This window comes from Homo sapiens, chromosome 15 (genome assembly GCF_000001405.40).
Source record: "Homo sapiens chromosome 15, GRCh38.p14 Primary Assembly".
NCBI lineage: Eukaryota > Metazoa > Chordata > Mammalia > Primates > Hominidae > Homo > Homo sapiens.
Genome location: NC_000015.10, coordinates 45,465,952 through 45,486,058, shown reverse-complemented (window position 1 = coordinate 45,486,058; position 20,107 = coordinate 45,465,952). Strand labels below are relative to the sequence as shown.

Sequence of the window (20,107 nt, the reverse complement as noted above, 5' to 3'; positions counted from 1 at the left end):
AGAGCAAGACTCCATCTCGGAAAAAAAAAGAATATTTCCCGGCCTGGCGCGTTGACTCACGCCTGTAATCCCAACACTTTGGGAGGCCAAGGTGGGTGGATCACCTGAGGTCAGGAGTTCAAGAACAGCCTGGCCAACATGATGAAACCCCATCTCTACTAAAAAATACAAAAATTAGCCAGTCGTGGTGACACGTGCCTGTAATCCCAGCTACTCGGGAGGCTGAGGCAGGAGAATTGCTTGCACTCAGGACACAGAGGCTACAGTAAGCCAAGATGGCGCCATTGTACTCCAGCCTGGGCAACAAGAGCGAAACTCCATCTTAAAAAAAAAAAAAAAAGAAAGAATATTTCCCATGCTCTTTTCTACATAGGAAAAGCTAGATTCTTACATTTTTATTTCTTCAAGTCATTTCACAGATTGATGCTATTGATGCTTTTTAAATCAAAATAATACATGCATGAGGTTTACTTTTAATGTGCACAAGATATTTTAATGACAGGTTTGTAACTGATGTCTGGTATTTTTTCTCTACCTGAGAGTAGACTGGAGAGGTTAGAATAATGAGAAGCCATTAAGGATGTGTAAATTGACCTACTTATCTAACAGAATAGCTTAGAGAGGGTAGAAATCAGACTAATAAAAATATATTCCCAGTATATTTCAGTTGTTTTTTTCCCTGTATCTTATTCAAGATGTAACTGTACAATGGATAGTAATGATATTTTCTTGACATTGCAGTTCCTGGAAGTTCATCTAAATGGGAGGAAGTACAGTCCAAAGCAAACCATTTATTATTGAACACATTTGGCATGTATAGATGTACTATTCAGCTTCAGAGTTACAGGCAAGAAGTGGACAGAACTTGTGCAAATTGTCAGAGTTCTAGTCCCTAATTTTATGTATTTTGGGAACTCCTGCCTTATTTATCCTGCAGTCACAGACTTGAGAGCAATAAATGCAAACCTAAATGAGAAAATGGAATCCCTGACAGCTGTGTCCGTATCAAGCATCAGTCTCTCAAACAGTTGCCCCAGCCTGACAGTGCTAGTCTCTGTTTAATGGTAAAAGGAGACTTTGCCATAATTTTCAGATGAAGATGTTTCCCAAACACTGTTTACAGAATGAGATGTGACTCTACAGATACCTCATAGAAGACAATCCAAGATCATACTTCATTAACTTGACAGAGTACGTGTCTTAAAGGAAGCATCAAGAATTCAATATTTGCATTTAAAAATACTTTTTAAGGCCATTTTATATTAAGCCAGTGCTGGAAAACTGAATTTTTTTTATTATGTATAATAATCTCGACACCCAGCTTCTGGAATTGCTGCTTTCTTTTTACAGAAATTACTACCCAACAGATTTCAGGAAGTACTAGTAGTTATCCCAAAAGTGGAATAAGCATGTATTCCTAAGTGTTTCAGAAATGTTTTATTTCACACATAAGTCTTAATGTTATTGTTATGATTATACTTTATAAACAACCTTTTCCAGATGCTACAGGGTTTTGAATCTCAAAGTTAACATTTTTCATTATTTGTAATCTTAGAACCAAATCTTTATTTATTGTGGTCACTGTTATTAAATGATTTAGGAAATACTTTCAATATTATTCTGAATGGCTGAAGTTAGTCTTAAACTCAAATTACTATATGATGATTTAAAACAAAATAAAAGAGCGAGGATGGGGGTTGGAGTTTCAGGTTTATGTCTTCCCGACATCACTTTTATCATTCATGAAATTGTCTTAAAAAAGCAAGAGACTGCAAAATGTAAACAGTAATCTTCTGTCCCTTTAAGAACTGCCAACAATTTGTACAAAAAATGTGGTACGTTGGTTCCTGCCTCCACTCCAGGTCATCTGTGTGTTTAGCCTTTCAGGGTAAACTCTAGAGGGTTCAGTTTATAATTCCCACCTTTCACATATAGTTCAACAACATTAATCCAGAGAGAATTTTATGTTTTATGATATGGGTTATGTTTTATTATATATTTTATGTTTTATGATATGGGTTAGGGATTCTCCATGGACTCCAGAAACCCTAAAATACAATTTTGAGGTTTTCCAATAATACCATAGCAGAAATGTCCAAGGGGTTGGGGGAAGATATTACTTTGAGAAAACAGAAATGTAAAGGATTTTTGACCTTATATATGTGTGTGGTTTTGTTTTTGTTTTTGTTCTTGAGAGAGTCTCACTCTGTCACCCAGGCTGGAGTGCAGTGGCGTGACCTCTGCTCACTGTAACCTCTGCCTCCTGGGTTCAAGTGATTCTTCTGCCTCAGCCTCCCAACTAGCTGGGACTACAGGTACACCACACCCAGCTCATTTTTTTGTATTTTTAGTAGAGACAGGGTTTTGCCACATTGGCCTGTCTGGTCTTGAACTCCTGACCTCAGGTGATCCGCCTGCCTTGGCCTTCCAGAGTGCTGGGATTACAGCATGAGCCACCATGCCTGGCCTGTATGTGTGTGTTTTAAAGCACTAGATAGGGATGGACATTAAATCTGTGTTGCAGGGAAACTAAACAGAGGTTTCCAAACTGAAGGCAACCTAATTGTAAATGCCTGTGTTAAAGAGGCAGCTTGACTGTTCATGTTTCATTTTGCAACCATTGGTTTTGAGATTATCTTTTATGCACATTTGGAGTCCCTTTTCAACAGTGACAGTTTCTTACACGAAGAATGGATATGGTTATTGGGCTCCTCTAAGAATCAGAGTAGGGTAACAATGTACCAGGCAAATTGTAAGTTGAAATTCTAGATAAGCATGCAGATGACTTACAATATAAATGAAGAATAGGAAACATTTTATCTTCTTACCAAGTACCTTACTATAAGTAAACCTAAGATAAGAAAACCCAGATTTACCTATAAGATTGTTGGGAGTTAATGGTGTCAATAAAAGGATTGATGGTCCCTCTAATGAAACCCAGTAGATGTTTGTTGAATTGAACTGAAAATTTATGTGGCCAGACACAGTGGCTCATGCCTGTAATCTCAGCATTTGGGGAGGCAAAGGTGGAAGTATCCCTCGAGGCCAAGAGTTCATGACCAGCCTGGTCTTTTGTAGAGACCCTGTCTCTACAAAAATATAAAAATCAGCCAGGCGTCGTGCACACCTGTAGTATCAGCTACTTGTAAGGCTGTGGCAGAAGTGCTTTAGCCCAGGAGGTTGAGGCTGCAGTGAGCCATGTCCACACCATTGCACTGCAGCCTGAGTAACAAAATGAGACCCTATCTCAAAAACAAAAAGGAAAAGAAAATATACATGATGGGATTCCTATTGTGAAGTCATTTAAAATAATGACTTGAATTTCTCAGAAATTTCAGGAGCATATAAACTATTTAAATCAAAATATTCTTACATATAGAAACCAAGTAAGAATAAATGAGAGATATTTCAGTGGACATCTGGACATATTTATGGACTTTGAGTATCTAGCAAGTAGAAAGGAAAAAAATATTCATCATACTCTAATCATTTTTTTATATCTATTGAGCTTGTTTCTTGTAAACTTTTCTTTATCTTATAAAGGCATATCTCGCTTTTGTATCGACCTGTTCCTTAAAAAATGTATTTGATAAAACAGGCTAAAATTCATTTGAGTATTGAAAAGAATTCTTTTTTTTTTTTTAAGATGGTGTCTCACTGTCACCCAGGCTGGAGTGCAGTGGCACAGTTGGGCTCACTGCAGCCTCTGCCTCCCAGGCTCAAGTGGTCCTCCCATCTCAGCCTCCCAAGTAGCTGGTACCACAGGCATGCACCACCACACCCAGCTAATTTTTTGTATTTTTGGTAGACACAGTGTTTCACCATGTTGCCCAGGCTGGTCTTGAACTCCTGAGCTCAAGTGATCTGCCCACCTCGGCCTCCCAAAGTGCTGGGCTTATGGGCATGAACCACTGTGCCCAGCCAAAAAGAATCCTTTTGTAAAATACAGAAACACTGCAAACCTTTGTAAATCTTTTTTTTTTTTTTTTTTTTTTTTTTTTAATGAGATGGGGTCTCCCTATGTTGCCCAGGCTGGTCTTGAGCTCCTGGGCTCAAGAAATCCTTCCACCTCGGGCTCCCAAAGTGCTGAGATTACAGGGTGTGAGCTACCGCACCCAGCCATGAAAACTTCTGTAAATCTTAACTATCGTGTTCTGCTTAAAGTGAGGTACACATAAAGTTTCCTGTGCTTTGTTTTTGTAGGAAAAAGTACATAGTTTGTATCTTTACCTTACGGAGTCTATGAGATTTGAGAATTTGATTTCACTTTTTGTAACTTAACCCACAGAAAAGGACATTAACTTAGCAGATAGGACCAAGGACTGAATGACTTCTGACAAAAAGCGTTTGGTCTATCCTTCACTTGTTGAGCTACAACCATGCATTACACTTCTCAGCTGAGCTCTCAAAGAGCTCTATGCCCTGTGAAAAGCAGTGGCTGAGTTGGATGAACACATAGCATTATTAATTTTGCACTGGGAAAACAGATTATGACAGGACCACAGACCACAATATAAAAACTTGGCAGTTCTTTGGTGTGATATATTTTAATTAGTATTTGCAAATAATCAGAGTTACTTGTGTACATAAACGTGTGTTTCACAACTATGGCCAGATGCAACCTTTTGGTCTGTTTCAGGAAAAGACCTATTATTCCACTAACAATTATGCTGCCTTAGAAACATAATGGGAGTGTAATTGAAGAAAGCATGTCTCAGAAGGTTTTGATATGCAGAACTGGAAGCTATTGTAATTCCTACATACATTTCCATTAGCTATGCCTTATGTAATGTGAGTGCAGATTTTTACAACTTAGAGTTCCCATCAGTGTTTTTTTGCCACATCACCGGGTTTCTTATTTTACTGTTTTCTTTTCAACTTTGGGTGCTTTATTTCCATTCTCTAAAACTAAGTTTCTTGCTCTTACGAGACTTAGTGTTCCTTTTGAACCCAGGTGTTCCACCTGACAGTGTTTGTCTTTCATAGACTTTCCAGAATAGACATAGTCAAGATCAGACACGTGAGCTTCTCTCTCATTTTAATGTGAGGAAAATCATCTTTCAGAGACAAGGCACCGCTTAGAAATGTATGTCCAGGTATGAAAGAACCTTTTTAAAATGGCTGGTTGTTCCAGATCCAGATTTCTCTGCACACTGGACTTCGTAGAGTAAGTGTGGTAGACAAAGAGACTACACTGCACAACCACCAGTGAATATCATTGCTAAGAAGACTTTGGGTCGTGTTTCTCAGCCACTCTCACAGCTTTTGTAGACTTATTTGATTTTGAAACAAGCAGTTAGCTAAATCTATTTTCCTTTTATGCATATATGTTAATTGGCTCAACTTAATATGGTGTTCTTACAGAATATGAGCCCATTTGAAATAAGGTTTTAGGCAATTTTGCTGTTGGCTCTGATTTGTATATAGCAAATTTAAAGTTACAGAGTGTTTCCTAGATAGAAGATTAGTTCATTTGGTTCATTTTGTCTTTGAAGCAAGCCAAGCTCATGAGCCAGTTGGTTATTTGTCATAAATGAACACCCATCACTATATGCTATGTTGAGGGGAGGCAAGTCTGATCTTCGAATAATTGATAAAGTTTAATATCTTTGTAGCCAAAATACAATTTGCAAACCCTAACTCCAGATGTGTCGTATGAATCTTGACAACCAGGTCTTGAGATTTGTTTTACTGATTGCCAATCAGGTATATTATTTGTGATGTTCGTGGGAGCATGCAAATTAGAAGACAGTGTTGTGGGAGTTCCTCAGTATTGAATTACATGTGTGCACTCAGGCCTGCCAGTCACTGAATTCTGACTTGTAAAGGGTTTAACCTGCTGTTCCAATCATTGAGGACCAATTTGCTTTTTGATAAGATTGGAAAACATTTATGGAGACTTTCCCAGTTAAATCTATGACAGTGTCCACTTAAATAGTGCAATTTAGTATATTCTCAGATAACTGCAACACAAAATTGAAATGTGCCAGTATGTCATCTTTCTACCTGGAAGATACTGTATATTTGGAAAGTTTATGCTTCTCTCAATAAATACATGTTATTAAATAAGCCATATCACAGTTTAAGAAATTGTATATACTTTATCATATGCCCTTTCAGAAACCAGGTATTTTGCATATGATTGATTTTAGAAAGATTTTGAAGCTGGGGTTTGTCCATGTTAATTAAGATCAAAGTATATATATATATATATATATGTGCTGTATTTGCAACTTTCACATTGTAATTTCCTATACACTTATTAAAGTATTGTTTTGCCATGTGGTTTATTAAATAAAAATGTACAGTCTCTTAAATATCTGCTCTTTTTATTAAGTAATATTAGTAGGCCTAAAAACATTGTTCTTAAAAGAAAATCTTTTATAATTATAATGTCATTTTATAATGCCCTCTTATATGTTTAAGAAATAAAACTGAAAAAAATCTTCTGGATAGTATGGAAAGATTAATTAAAAGAACCTTTCTCTTTTGGTATCAGTCACATGCAGTGACGCTACAGTCCCATCAACAGTGGCAGAAAGGAAATAAAGAAGCCACTGTAAAATAGACTGGTGAGGACCACCAGGAAGTCTGAGAGTAAGAGCCTGCTGACTCTCCAATCGTGTGGACCAGTCTACACTATACCTCCCAGGCCAAATCTGGCCTGCAAGCCTGTTTTATTTGCCCCAAGAACTAAGAATGATTTTTACATCTATTAAATCACTGGGTGCAGTGGCTCACGCCTGTAATCCTAACATTTCAGGAGGCCAAGGCAGCTGGATTGCTTGAACCCAGGAGTTCAAGACCAGCCTTGGCAACATGGTGAAACCTCATCTCTACAAAAAATACAAAAATTAACTGGGCATAGTGGCACATGCCTGTGATCCCAGCTACTCAGGAGGCTGAGAGATAGGAGGATCACTTGAGCTCAGGAGGTCTAGGCTACACTGAGCCGTGATGGTGCCACTGCTCTCTAGCCTGAGTGACAGTGAGACCCTGTCCCCATCCCCCCCCAAAAAAAAACAGTAAATATTTCATGGCATGTGAAAATTATATGGACTTTAAGTGAATTTCTGTGTCTATAAAGCGTTACCGGAACACACCACACTCATTCAGTTACGTATTGTCTATGGCTGCTTCCATGCTACCGTGGAGAGTTGCGTAGTGACATAAAATATTTACTATCTGGCCCTTTATAGGAAACGTTTACTAACCCCTGGTGTAGAGTGTTTTAAGACTATAACAAGCCGGGTGCGGTGGCTCATGCCTGTAATCCCAGCACTTTGGGAGGCTGGAGTGGGCACTTGAGGTCAGGAGTTTGAGACCAGCCTGGCCAACATGGTGAAACCCCGTCTCTACTAAAAATACAAAAATTAGCTTGGCATGGTGGCAGGTGCCTATAGTCCCAGCTACTCGTAAGGCTGAAGTGGAAGAATTACTTGAACCCAGGAGGTGGAGGTTGCAGCGAGCCGAGCCGAGATCACACCACTGCACTCTAGCCTGGGCAACAGAGTGAGACTCCGTCTCAAAAAAAAAAAAAAACACTATTAACAGCATATATGGATGCAGTGAAGTCTCCTAGAACCTGCTTGCAAGTTTTTGTGACTGGTAAGTCTGAAGCCACCTGAGTCACCAAAGGTTCTTTCATACCTTTACCTTTTTTCTCATTTTAAACTTCCTTTGGGTTTGGGGCAGAATATAAGAAAAGAGTAGCAAGATTTCAAATATTATTCATATGCCGTACGCTGTCACATCACTAGCAAAGCATTTTTCTTACTAGAACACCATGATCACCAGAATCATTTAAGTATACTTTTCAACATAAAAGCTTATTCAGTTGATTTTTAGATTTTTCACTTGTTATAACAAAAAGTTAAGAAAATAAAAATATGTGTAGAGTACCTTATGTAATTTGTGCCAATTGGGAGCTCACAAATGATGTTCTTTAAGGTTTTTAAGTTTCCTAGCAAAAGACAACAATATTTAATAAATATTGTAATAAAATATAGTTGTAAATATACTAGTATAGACTGAGCCTGTAATTCCAGCACTTTGGGAGGCTGAGGCAGATGGATCACTTTGAGCTCAGGAGTTGAGCCCAGCCTGGGCAACAATGGTGAAACCCCATCTCTACAAAAAATAAAAAAATAAGCCAGGCATGGTGGCACGTCTGTGGTCCCAGCTACTCGGGAGGCTGAAGCTGGATAATTGCTTGATTCTGGAAGGCAGATGGTGCAGGAAGCCAAGACTGCACCACTGCACTCCAGTGACACTGCAACAGAGTGAGATCCTGTTTAAAAAAAAATACATATATATGTATTATATATATATTATATATATGTATTATATATATATTATATATATGTATTATATATATATTATATATATGTATTATATATATTATATATATGTATTATATATATTATATATGTATTTATATTATATATATGTATTATATATATTATATATATGTATTATATAATATATATGTATTATATATATTATATATGTATTATATATATTATATATATGTATTATATATACTAGTAAAGATTGAGATGTTACTTATTATTTGATTGTCTACCTAGCTATTCTATTTTGATGTGTCATTTTTTTTGATCCATGTCAGATGTTAAATACTAATTTGGGGTAACAGTCTTACAAGCTCTTGATTATGCTAAACTTTAGTATATTCATAAATAATATTTTTTGGATATATTTCGACTTCAACTGTGGTCCCATAATAATTGCTATAAGCTATGAAATAGACTAGGCACAAATAGAAAGTATGAAGCCTTATAACAAAATATAATCTCTACATGAGTCATGTGTTTAAGATAGGAGGTTTTAAAATCCAATGTTATCACCAAAAATAACATTTTCAAGCAGCATTCTGGTGTAACAGGCTCTCATGTAACTTTTACAGAGCACTACAAATTAAAGTTTGGCCCATGGGTCTTACCCTATAAACATGAAGAGGATACTGTGTGAGTTATCAAATTGCTTCCATGTCTCCTGGACTTAAATTTTTTTTTTCTGGTTTGATTTTCAAATTCCTGTTGTCTGTGTTTCACTTGCCAGTTTCTGCACATTGGTTTGTGGTTAGTTGGTGTTTGTTTGTTTGTTTTAACACTTTTGTCACTTCAACAAAAAGCTGATGCTATGGGAAAAATGTGTATGGATTGGTTTTTCTCCAAAATATACTGGGCTATTTCTTGGTAAGAGAGTAGGATTTTTTACAGTAGGAAAATTTTAGAGACCTCATGAAAGCAAGGCTAGCCCTGAAGCAAGACAGACCGTCTCTGCTCCCTTGACTCTCCTAGCATTTGAAGATTTGACCCCACATCTTTTCGAGAGGAAACCTGCTAACAGCTTAAATGGTTACTGCAGCATTTACCTTTGAACAGTGATCACAGTGAATGTTGGACTTCAGTCAGGGCATGAAGGACTGAAGTGAAGGTAAGAAATGTTTCCTGGACTTCCATTCATTAATCTATCATACTCACCTGTGAAGGCTATGGGGCAATTCCTTGTTTCAACACGTTCTTTTTCAGTTTACAACTTGACTGGAGTTTCAGTGTTAGCACAAGTCTATTCCATCCTCTTTTTGCTTCTTTATATAAGAATATTTTCCAAAGTCCAGGATATTTTTTAAACCTTGAAACAAAGTGTTATATAATTTAGTGTATTAGTCATTGACGTGTATTTGGTTTTAGAAGTGTTTCTGATCTAGGCGTGGTGGCTCATACCTGTAATCCCAGCACTTTAGGAGGCTCAGGAGGGAGGATCGCTTGAACTCAGAAGTTCAAGACCAGCCTGGGCAGCATGGTAAAACCCCATCCCTACAAAAAATTAGCCAGGCATGATGGTGTGCACCTGTAGTCCCAGCTACTTGGGAGATCCCTTGAACCCAGCAAGTCGAGGTTGCAGTGAGCTGAAATTCTGCTGCTGCACTCCAGCCTTGGTGACAGAGTGAGATCCTGTCTCAAAAAAAGAAAAAGAAATGTTTCTCATCTTTAAGATACCATGATATTGAAATTTTGACATCTCAGAAAGTTGGTTCAGGCTGAGTGCGGTGGCTCACACCTGTAATCTCAGCACTTTGAGAGGCCGAGGCAGGCGGATCACCTGAGGTCAGGAGTTTGAGACCAGCCTGGCCAACATGGCATGGCAAAACCCCGTCTGTATTAAAAATACAAAAAAATAATCTGGGCATGGTGGCATGCACCTGTAATCCCAGCTACTCAGGAGGCTGAGGCAGGACAATCGCTTGAACCCAGGCGGGTGGAGGTTGTAGTGAGCCGAGATCACACCACTACATTCCAGCCTGGGCGACAGGGTGACAGTGAGACTCTGTCTCAAAAAAAAAAAAAAAGGTTCAAGTGGTTGGAAATGTTTTTTTCTTTTTCTTTTTTTCTTTTTTTTTTTTTTTTTTTAGTTTTCTTTAGGCAAGGTGTCACTCTGTCACCTAGGCTGCAGTGGTGTGATCTTGGCTCACTACAGCCTCATCCTCCCAGGTTCAAGAGATTCTTGTGCCTCAGCCTCCTGAGTAGCTGGGATTATAGGCATGTACCATCATGCCCAACTAATTTTTGTATTTTTAGTAGAAATAGGGTTTCACCACATTGGCCAAGCCGGTCTTGAACTTCTGGGCTCAAGCAATCCACTCGTCTTGGCCTCCCAAAGTGCTTAGGATTACAAGCATAAGCCACCGCACCCGGTGGAAATGGTTTTTTCTGAAGTAGATTGAGACTATTCCAAATGTCATCCATTTTACAATTATTCAACCAAGGATTGACCTATGAAGACCATCTGCCTGCCACTGAACATGCTATGAAATAGAACACACAATAGCAGTGGGTTTTTTTTTTTTAAGTTAAACAGGAAATAAAACAATGTTATGTTTTTGGAGGGCTTCTTGGGCCATAGCCTCACTCCTGTAGATAGAAGATCACACTTGTCTCCCATTAGGAATGGCTTCAGAAATTGTGACCAGGAGGATTAAAGTCCATCCTCTTGGTAATGACATGCAAAGTCCTGATCTGGTCACTGCTTACCTAGTCACCCCGCAGTTCCAGCCTTTCCCACCACCACTAGCCTACCTCCCATGTGTCAGCCATACCAAACTATAGGCAGCTTTTGGTTAACCAGGGAAATAATTGCTAACACTTATTGATCCCTGACTGCGTTCCAGACACTGCTGCGCACTTTGTTTGTTTGTTTTTTGAGACGGAGTCTCGCACTGTAGCCCGGGCTGGAGTGCAGTGGCGGGATCTCGGCTCACTGCAAGCTCCGCCTCCCGGGTTCACGCCATTCTCCTGCCTCAGCCTCCCAAGTAGCTGGGACTACAGGCGCCCGCCACCGCGCCCGGCTAATTTCTTTTTGTATTTTTAGTAGAGACGGGGTTTCACCGTGTTAGCCAGGATGCTCTCGATCTCCTGACCTCGTGATCCACCCACCTCAGCCTCCCAAAGTGCTGGGATTACAGGCGTGAGCTACCGCGCCCGGCCTGTTTTATCTCTTTAAGTTTACAACAAAAATTAGATACATTTCTGAAACACTCCAGACAATAATATAATTACAACTAAATGTGTTAATGGCCAGCAGTTATTATCACTTACAGAATATGATAATCTCCCCGTCAGCCCAGTGGTAGCACTGAGCTGGTTCACAACAATTCTAGCCTTGCTAATGACAGCTTGTTTTTTTAATAACAGACTATTTTTTAAATGAATTAATAAGGCGACTATTTTCAGCTTGAAACTGTGGGAGAGCTCACTTACTACTTTTTTTTTTTTTTTAAAGAGACAAGGTCTCACTGTCACCCAGGCTGGAGTGAAATGGTGGGATCATGGTTCACTGCAGCCTCGACCTCCCAGGCTCAAGCAATCCTCCTACCTCAGCCCCCCAAGTAGCTGGGACTGTAGGCATGTGCCACCATGCCCCCACTAATTTTTTGATTTTTTTTTTTTTTGGTAGAGATGAGGTCTCCCTATGTTGCCCAGGCTGGTCTTGAACTTCTGGGCTCAAGTGATCCTCCTGGGTTAGCTTCCCAAAGTGCTGGAATTACAGGTATGAGCCAACATGAAAGTGGCTGACACTACTTTCAAAGTATTAATGGATTTAAAATCAATAATCTTTATCTTCGTTGTTAAAATATTTAACTAAGTATATACACATACATTGGATTAAGAGACAGCCAGGCACAGTGGTTCACCCCTGTAATCCCAGCACTTTGGGAGGCCAAGGCAGGAGGATCACATGAGCCCAGCGGTTCAAGACTAGCCTGAACAATATAGTAAGACCCTGTATCTAAAAATAAAATAAAATGAAATAACAGACAGAAGAACTGGTTCTGGTCCCAGCTTTGCTAAATGTGTCTCTCTGGACAAGTTACTCTGTTTTGCTAGGCCTCAGTCTAGCTGTCTGTATAATGATAATAAATGTTGATTGAGTGTTCCACACTGTACTTGCCAAGCACTGTTCTAAAAGCTTTTTCAGCGTTAGCGAATTGTTAGCAACAGTTCTATGAATTATTATTACCCCGATGTACAAATGAGGAAACTGAGGCAGAGAAAGGTTAGGTAACTTCCCAAGGTTAGCTAATTAGTAGCAGAGCTGGGATTCCAATACAAATTGGTCTGGGTCAGCATTCCCACTCTTAGCCTTTATGGTGAGATTCTCCAGCTGGGACCAACACTGTCAATTATCCAGTGCAGAATTGCATGACACTCTTATAAGCCTCCTAAGGAGGCTGGGTGGCTGCCCCAGGCCATAGAGAGAACCTGCCTGCAGGGGAAGCTGTGTGGGTAGGGCGGATGTGAGTGAGGAGGGCCCGGTGGGAAGGAGCCTGCTCTATCAATAATGGCCCAACTGTATGTACACTTACTTTCACTCTGTCCCCATCTCTCCTAGAACTACCAGAGGCTTTCTGACTTTTTTTGCAAATAAAGACCCTGAGGGGGCTATGCTCTTACTGTCTCTTCTCTTGTCCACTTTGTTAGTGAGCCAGCATGGTAGGATATTAAGGAGAGGATTTGGATCCAGGCTACAGTGGGTTCAGTTTCAGCTGTATGAACTTAATAGATGTGTGATCTTGGGAAGGGTGGAAACCTCTCTAAGCCTTTTTCTTCAGCTATATAACAGAATAACACCTTGTGTTATAACCACAGGAGTTAGAGAAAACTCCACACTTTGAGACAAATTAAGAGTCCTTTATTAAGCCAGCGGCCAAAGAGACGGCTAACGCTCAAAATTCTCTCGGCCCCGAGGAAGGGGCTTGATTAACTTTTATACCTAGGTTTAGGAAGGGGAGGGGAACTCAAATGCAATAATTCTACAGAAGTAAAAAGATGCAAGAATAAAAAAACAAATGGTTACAAAGAGATAAACTATTTAAAAGACAAATGGTTACAAAAAGAGCAACGGTACCAGGTGCAGGGCTCTAAATCCTTCATTTATAATTAGTTATAGGGGCTATGCCAGACACGAACTCAGGGCTTTATGTTGTTATCTCCTTGAGAAAAATCCTGGGAACTTCATACATTGTTGGTGCTAGTACCTTATCAGTTAATTGGGCTCCTTTGAAATGCTGAGGATCTGTTTACACAGGTCAACTCCTTACGGAAGGGGGTTGGGTAAGGAGCCCTTAGTGTCTTGTAAATTAAGGGGTCAATTGGAGTTTGTCCGGCTTTCCCAGCTAGAGAGAGTCTTATTTACATGAGAAGCAAGGCTAGGTGACTAAAGAGACAAACAGGGAAGATTCAAAGTAGCAAGTTAGAGTAAAAACAAGGTTAGGCATTTCACTTGAACTTCATTCACAAGGTTGCTTTAGGGATTAACTAAAATAAAGCACATACAACATCTAGCATTAGCTGGGCGTCGTGGCTCACGCCTGTAATCCCAGCACTTTGGGAGGCTGACGCGGATGGATCACCTGAGGTCGGAGTTCGAGACCAGCCTGGCTAATATGGTGAAAACTCGTCTTTACTAAAAATACAAAAAATTAGCTGGGCTTGGTGACAGATGCCTGTGATCCCAGCTACTCAGTAGGCTGAGGCAGGAGAATCGCTTGAACCTGGGAGGCTGAGGCTGCAGTGAGCTGAGATCGTGCCATCGCACTCCAGCCTGGGCAACAAGAGCAAAACTCCATCTCAAAAACAAACAAACAAACAAAAACAAAACAAAACCACATCTAGCATAGTTCTTGTTACATTGTTTCTTTTTCTCCCACTCCTCACTCTGTGATGGAGAAAATTGAGACCCTCCCTACTGGACACATCTAGTTAATTTAGTCTAATTCAGGTAGATTCTCTCCTCAGGGACTAATCTAAGGATGATGTAAACCAAAAATAAAATTCTAAGGCCAACCATCTGAATGTGTTATATGACTTTTCCCTAGTTAAGCTACAGGCAGGGTCCTTGTCACACGACCATGAAAAATGAGGCTCGCAGATAATTTGAAGGGTGAGAAAAATGGGATTTATTGGGCAAAAAGGAAAAAAAGGGAAACAGGGACTCTCTGCAAAGCCAGGGTCCTGCTAGTGTGTGTCCTGCCTCGCAGACTGAATCCCAGGTACCATACCCCGGAACAAGAGAGAAAGACCAGGCTCCTTCCCTGCCAAGGGCGCTAACTTCCTACGGCTCCACCCCAGTGCGCATTTCTCCCAGTGTGCGGGCTGTCAGAGGTTCTGCCAGGGAGCCCTTCCCACCCAGCTGTCTCAAAGGGACTTCATTCTTGTCCAAGGGACTCATAATTTTTTTTTTTTTTGAGACAGGGTCTCTGTTGCCCAGGCTGGAATGCAGTGACACAATCTTGACTCACTGCAACCTCCACCTCGCAGGTTGAAGCGACTGTTCTACCTCAGCCTCCCAAGTAGCTGGGATCACAGGCATGCACCACCACACCCAGCTAATTTTTGTATTTTTAGTAGAGATGGGATTTCACCATGTTGGCCAGGCTGGTTTCAAACTGCTGGCCTCAAGTCATCCACCGGCCTTGGCCTCAAAAAGTGCTGGGATTACAGGCGTGAGCCACTGCACCTGGCCAGGACCCATAAAATTTAACCTGAGAGACTGGTTTAGGCGAAGACTGGAAGTGGGGGTCCTACACCCCTCATTATACTTGTCAGCATTTAACATTAACACATGCCTTAAGTCTGATCAAAAGCATTTACAGCCTATTCTTTCTGAAGCCTGATAACTGAAGGCTTCATCTGAATGACAAAACTTTGGTCTCCACAACCTCTTACTGCAACCCAGACATTTCCTTTCTGTTGCTCCCAGGTCCTTAGATAAACTCAACCAATATTCAACCATAAAAATTTTAAATCTACCTATAAACTGGAACCACCACCCACCCCTTCGAGTTGGCCCACCTTTCTGGACTGAACCAATGTATTTCTTTTTTTTTTTTTTTTTTGAGATGGAGTCTCATTCTGTCTCTCGCCCAGGCTGGAGTGCAGTGGCATGATCTCGGCTCACTGCAACCTCTGCCGCCCGGGTTCAAGCGATTCTCCTGCCTCAGCTTCCCAAGTAGCTGGGATTACAGGTGCCTGCCACCACCCCCAGCTAATTTTTGTATTTTTAGTAGAGATGGGGTTTTGCCATGTTGGCCAGGCTGGTCTTGAACTCCTGACCTCAGATGATCCACCCACCTCAGCCTCCCAAAGTGCTGGGATTACAGGCGTGAGTCACCGTGCCCAGCCTGAACCAATGTATTCTTAAATGTTTTAGATTGAAGTCTCATGTCTCCCTAAAATGTGTAAAACCAAGCTGTCCCCAACCACCTTGGGCACCTGTTCTCAGAATTTCCTGAAGGCTGTGTCATGGGCCATGGTCACTCATATTTGGCTCAGAATAAATCTCTTCAAATATTTTACAGAGTTTGACTTTTCGTCGACAATGGAAAGAAACTAACTGTTATCAGGGGGTTTATGCCAGGTCATTTCATATATATAGCCTCCCAATGGGGAAGAACTGACCCTGAGTTTGAATTTAGATTGAGTCAGTGTGACCTTAGATAAATTATTTGACCTCTTCAGGCTCAGTTTTTTCGTTGGTAAAGTGGGTGTAACTGAAATGCAGGTTGGTTGCTCGTCGCATGTACAGTCCAACAAGAGCAAGGCCAGATATTTAAAAAGTGAATTTATTGCAAAGCTGGTGTGAACTCTGAAAATCTGAGACAGGTCTGAGTTAATTTAGAAAGTTTATTTCGCCAGAGTTGAGGATGTGCACCGGTGACACAGCCTCAGGAAGTCCTGACGACATGTGCCCAAGGTGGTCAGAGCAAAGTTTTCCCTTTTATACGTGCTAGGGAGACATGCGACGTCAGTCAACATATGCAAGATGAACACTGGTTCGGTCTGGAAAGGTGGGAAGACTCAAAGCGGGGAGGGGGCTTACAGGTCATAGGTAGATAAGAGACAAACAGCATTCTTTTGAGTTTCTGATTAGCCTCTCCAAAGGAAGCAATCAGATATGCACTTATTTCAGTGAACAAAGGTCCCTAAGCAGTTCCCAGCTTGACTTTTTCCTTTAGCTTCATGATTTCAGGGCCCCAAGATTTATTTTCCTTTCACACTAGCTTGGGGAGGGGCACAAAGTGTCCTGCCTTCAAATGTGCTACTTCCCCTCTGGAGCAGAAAGGAGACACTTTGATAAAGTAAGAGGGGAATGAATAAGGGCAGGGGGTCCCACTGCTAGTTTGGTGCCTTATTTACCATCCGGTTGAGTTGGCACCTTCCTGGGCAGAAGTTGTAAAAGTGGCCAAGTGGGAAAAGGGTGTGATTTTGCTGTGCCCTCCTTGTGGATGAATGTCCCAAGGCAACCCTCTGGAGGTGAAAGTTCCGTGGTGGGCATGACTTGGTCTGCAAATCTGCCAACTCTCAAGAGAGATCTGTCTTGGAGCACACAGAAGAACTTGTCTGCAGGGAGTGTCTGGTGAGGGGGAGGTGAAAGGTTGTATTTGCATTTCTGAAGGGCTAAGTAGAAAATAGGGAACAGTGGGAAAGGGGAGAGAAGACAACTCATTTCGGGGCACTCAGTTACATGGGGACTCATAACATTAGCTGACTTCATAGGACTGTTGTGAGAATTAAATGAAATAATGCATGCAAAATGCCTGGCATATGTTAGTATTCAATAAATGGTGGCTATGGTTGTCATTATTCCTATTTAGGGTTCCTGAGCTTCCCTAGCCTCACTAGAAGCTTCCCTGGCCTCACCAGCTTTCCAAGCACCCTACTAACAGGTTCAAAACCACGAACTTAAATATACCAGTAGGACGCAGGGTCTGCTTCACAAACCATCACTCATAATCATCCCAGCTCCGAACATGTCATCAGCGCAGGAGTGACATCCTATCACAGCCCCTTCCCTCATCCTTCCACCAGAAGCCTATGGTTGGAGCTGCTTCTGCAGAATTAGGAGCAGAACCTGATGAGTCATGAGCAGAAGGACCTAAAAATTCTTAGGAAGCTTCTTGGTTCAATGCATCCACACCCACCCAATCATGGCCTAAAAATAGTTTTTCTCTAGGGAGAGACCTAACGAGAGATGTGTGTATGTCGTGTCACAGTGACAGAATGAGAGCTCGGATTGCTAGGGGTTTCTCAGGAGCTGAATCTTCCCCAACTGTTCCCCCACATCCCCAGGACAGGCACAGCTGTACTAGCACAGTACGTCCTCCTCCCCCACTTCCTTCACAATAAGCACCCCACACACACCTGAAACACCAGGTTCACCAACAACTACACCCCATCCTCCAAACTCACCTCCCTCATCCCTGTACCTGCTTCTCATTTTACAGGTTATCTCAGTAGGAGTGGGAAAGCCTCGATCCTTCACCAAACCCCACACCTCTCCTGGGGACATCTCAATGCCTTAACAGAAACCACTCCACTTTATAACTTTGCTTTGGATTCATCCTCCGATTTCTCAGCAGACTTCAATGTTGAACACACCCATGGCCCAACCAAACTGAGTCCATTAGACTACAAGAACCTTGAGGACAGGGCCCATGTCCATCTTGCCCCATCCCATCCTTAGTGACCACCACAATGCAGGGCACAAAGTGAACCTCAATAAATCTTTGCTCAGTGAATGATGAGCAAATAAATTCAGATTTTACAGAAGGAGGGGAAGTCTTTCCCTGTTACAGAATCACTGGATTAAAGAATATACTTCGGAACTGTGCTGTCCAATATGGTAATCACTAGCCACATTTGGCCATTTAATGTTAGTTAGAATTAATCAAAATTAAATTCTACTATATGATCTAGCCATTCCGTTCTTTGGTATTTACCCATGAAAAATTAAAGCATATGTCCAAAGACTCATATAATGATGTTCATAGCAGCTTTAGTCACAATGGCTAAAAACTGGGGAAAATATATTTATCCACAGATGAATGGATAAACAAATCATAGCATATCCACACAATGGAATACTGCTGGGCGATAAGAAGGAATTAATTATTGATAAACACAATGACATGGATGAATCTCAAAAGAATTATGCTGAGCAAAAGGGACAGACCAAAAAGAGTAAATACTGTAGGATTCCACTTATATGGAATTCTTAAAAACGCTCAGCATCGTAAGATGGGGCAAAAGTAAAATTCCAAAAAATGCAACCTATCATGACTGAAAGCAGGTCTGTAGTTGTCTGGGGATTAGTGGGAGCAGGGAAGGGTGGGAGGGAGGGATTACAAAGATGCAGGAGGAAACTCGTGTGGGTCCTGCACGTGTTCACTGTCCTGATTGTGGTGATGGTTTCACAGGGGTGTGCTCATGTCCCAAAACTTACCAAACTGTACCCTTTAAATATGTGCAGAGCGTGATATGTCAATTATATCTCAATTTAAAACAAGAGTTAAAAACATTCAATAAGTTTAGAAATTCAGTTCCTAAGTCACCCCAGCCACATTTCAAGCACCCAATAGTCATATGTGGTTAGTGGCTGCCATATTGCACAGCACAGGTATAGCACGTTAACATTATTGTAGAAAGTTCTGTTGAAAGCACTGCTCTCGAATCACAGAAAAACAGACGGGCAAGGGCCTCAGAAGCTATCTGCACAACCCTCCACAAAGCATAAATATCCAAAAATACAAAAATCGTGGGCTGTCCCTGTGACCCCACACCTATCCAGGCCTCAGGCTACCCTATGCTCAGCCCCAGCGGGGCTCACTGGGCTGCCTGGGCTCTCAGTTCCAACCCTCTGTGCTCCATCATCCTCCATTTCTAACCTTCCATCTTCTGATCTCTCCCAAGCTGGAGGAACAACAAACTAGGCCACCCTGACCTTTAGTCTACCTCTGGCACTGCCCTGCTTCCATCCCTCCTCTCACAGGCAAAGTCCCTTTTGTCCATTATGAGTCCATTCTCATATTGCTATAAAGAAATATCTGAGACTGGGTGATTTATAAAGAAAAGAGGTTTTTTTATTTTTGTTTTTGTTTTTGAGACAGAGTCTTGCTGTTGTCACCCAGGCTAGAGTGCAGTGGCTTGATCTTGGCTCACTGCAACTTCCGCCTCCCAGGTTCAAGTGATTCTCCTGCTCAGCCTCTCCAGTAGCTGGGATTACAGGCACCTGCTACCATGCTGGCTAACTTTTTGTTTTTGTTGTTGTTGTTGTTGTATTTTTAGTAGAGATGGGGTTTCACCATGTTGGCCAGGCTGGTTTCAAACTCTTGACCTCAGGTGATCCGCCCACCTCGGCCTCCTAAAGTGCTGGGATTATAGGTGTGAGCCACCCTGCCCGGCTAAGAAAAGAGATTTAATTGGCTCACGGTTCTGCAGGTTGTACAGGAAGCATGGCAGCATCTGCTTCTGGAGAGGCCTCAGGGAGTTTCCAATCCTGGTGGAAGACTAAGCAGGAGCAGGCGCATCACATGGCTGGAGCAGGAGGAAGAGAGAAGCCGGTAGTGGCTCAGTTCTAGTCCAAAAGGCTCAGAAGTAGGGAAGTTGACAGTGCAGCCTTCAGCCTGTGGCCAGAGGCCTAGGAGCCCAAGGCAGGCCACCAGTGCAAGTCACTGAGTCCAAAGGCTGAAGAACCTGGAATCTGACGTCCAAAGGCAGGAGGAACCACAGGAGAAAGACGGAAA

At 41.5% G+C, this 20,107-nt stretch overlaps 2 protein-coding genes across 6 annotated transcripts in view, besides 1 other annotated feature; one reads left to right on the top strand and one right to left on the bottom strand.

Moving 5' to 3' along the window:
• Positions 1–6,453, top strand: part of SLC30A4 (solute carrier family 30 member 4) — a 43,150-nt gene extending 36,697 nt beyond the window's left edge. For both annotated transcript variants that reach the window (NM_013309.6, XM_017022560.3), the window contains one exon: positions 742–6,453. In NM_013309.6, the coding sequence (NP_037441.2) occupies positions 742–896 (155 nt within the window). In that variant the 3' untranslated portion in view covers positions 897–6,453. The remainder of the gene's footprint in view (positions 1–741) is intronic.
• SLC30A4-AS1 (SLC30A4 antisense RNA 1) overlaps positions 1–20,107 on the bottom strand; it is a 51,695-nt gene that overhangs the window by 13,990 nt on the left and 17,598 nt on the right. The window contains exons 2-4 of one of the 4 annotated variants that reach the window (XR_007064610.1): positions 9,750–9,980; positions 9,507–9,657; positions 4,532–8,290 (exon numbers count right to left, since the gene is read on the bottom strand). Coding sequence is in view for 2 of the 4 variants with exons in the window: in XM_047433408.1 (XP_047289364.1) it covers positions 9,516–9,657 (142 nt within the window). In the remaining 2 variants the exon portion in view is untranslated. Of the gene's footprint in view, positions 1–4,531; positions 8,291–9,506; positions 9,658–9,749; positions 9,981–20,107 lie in introns of those variants that run through there. The other 3 variants (XR_007064611.1, XM_047433408.1, XM_047433407.1) reach the window with 3 other exon arrangements.
• Positions 13,327–14,016: an enhancer, noted in NCBI's record as "OCT4-NANOG hESC enhancer chr15:45764241-45764930 (GRCh37/hg19 assembly coordinates)". NCBI's record gives its function as "activates a minimal SCP1, AML or CMV promoter by ChIP-STARR-seq in naive and primed H9 embryonic stem cells {active_cell/tissue: H9 hESC(naive and primed)}" and the evidence as "EXISTENCE:reporter gene assay evidence [ECO:0000049][PMID:30033119]".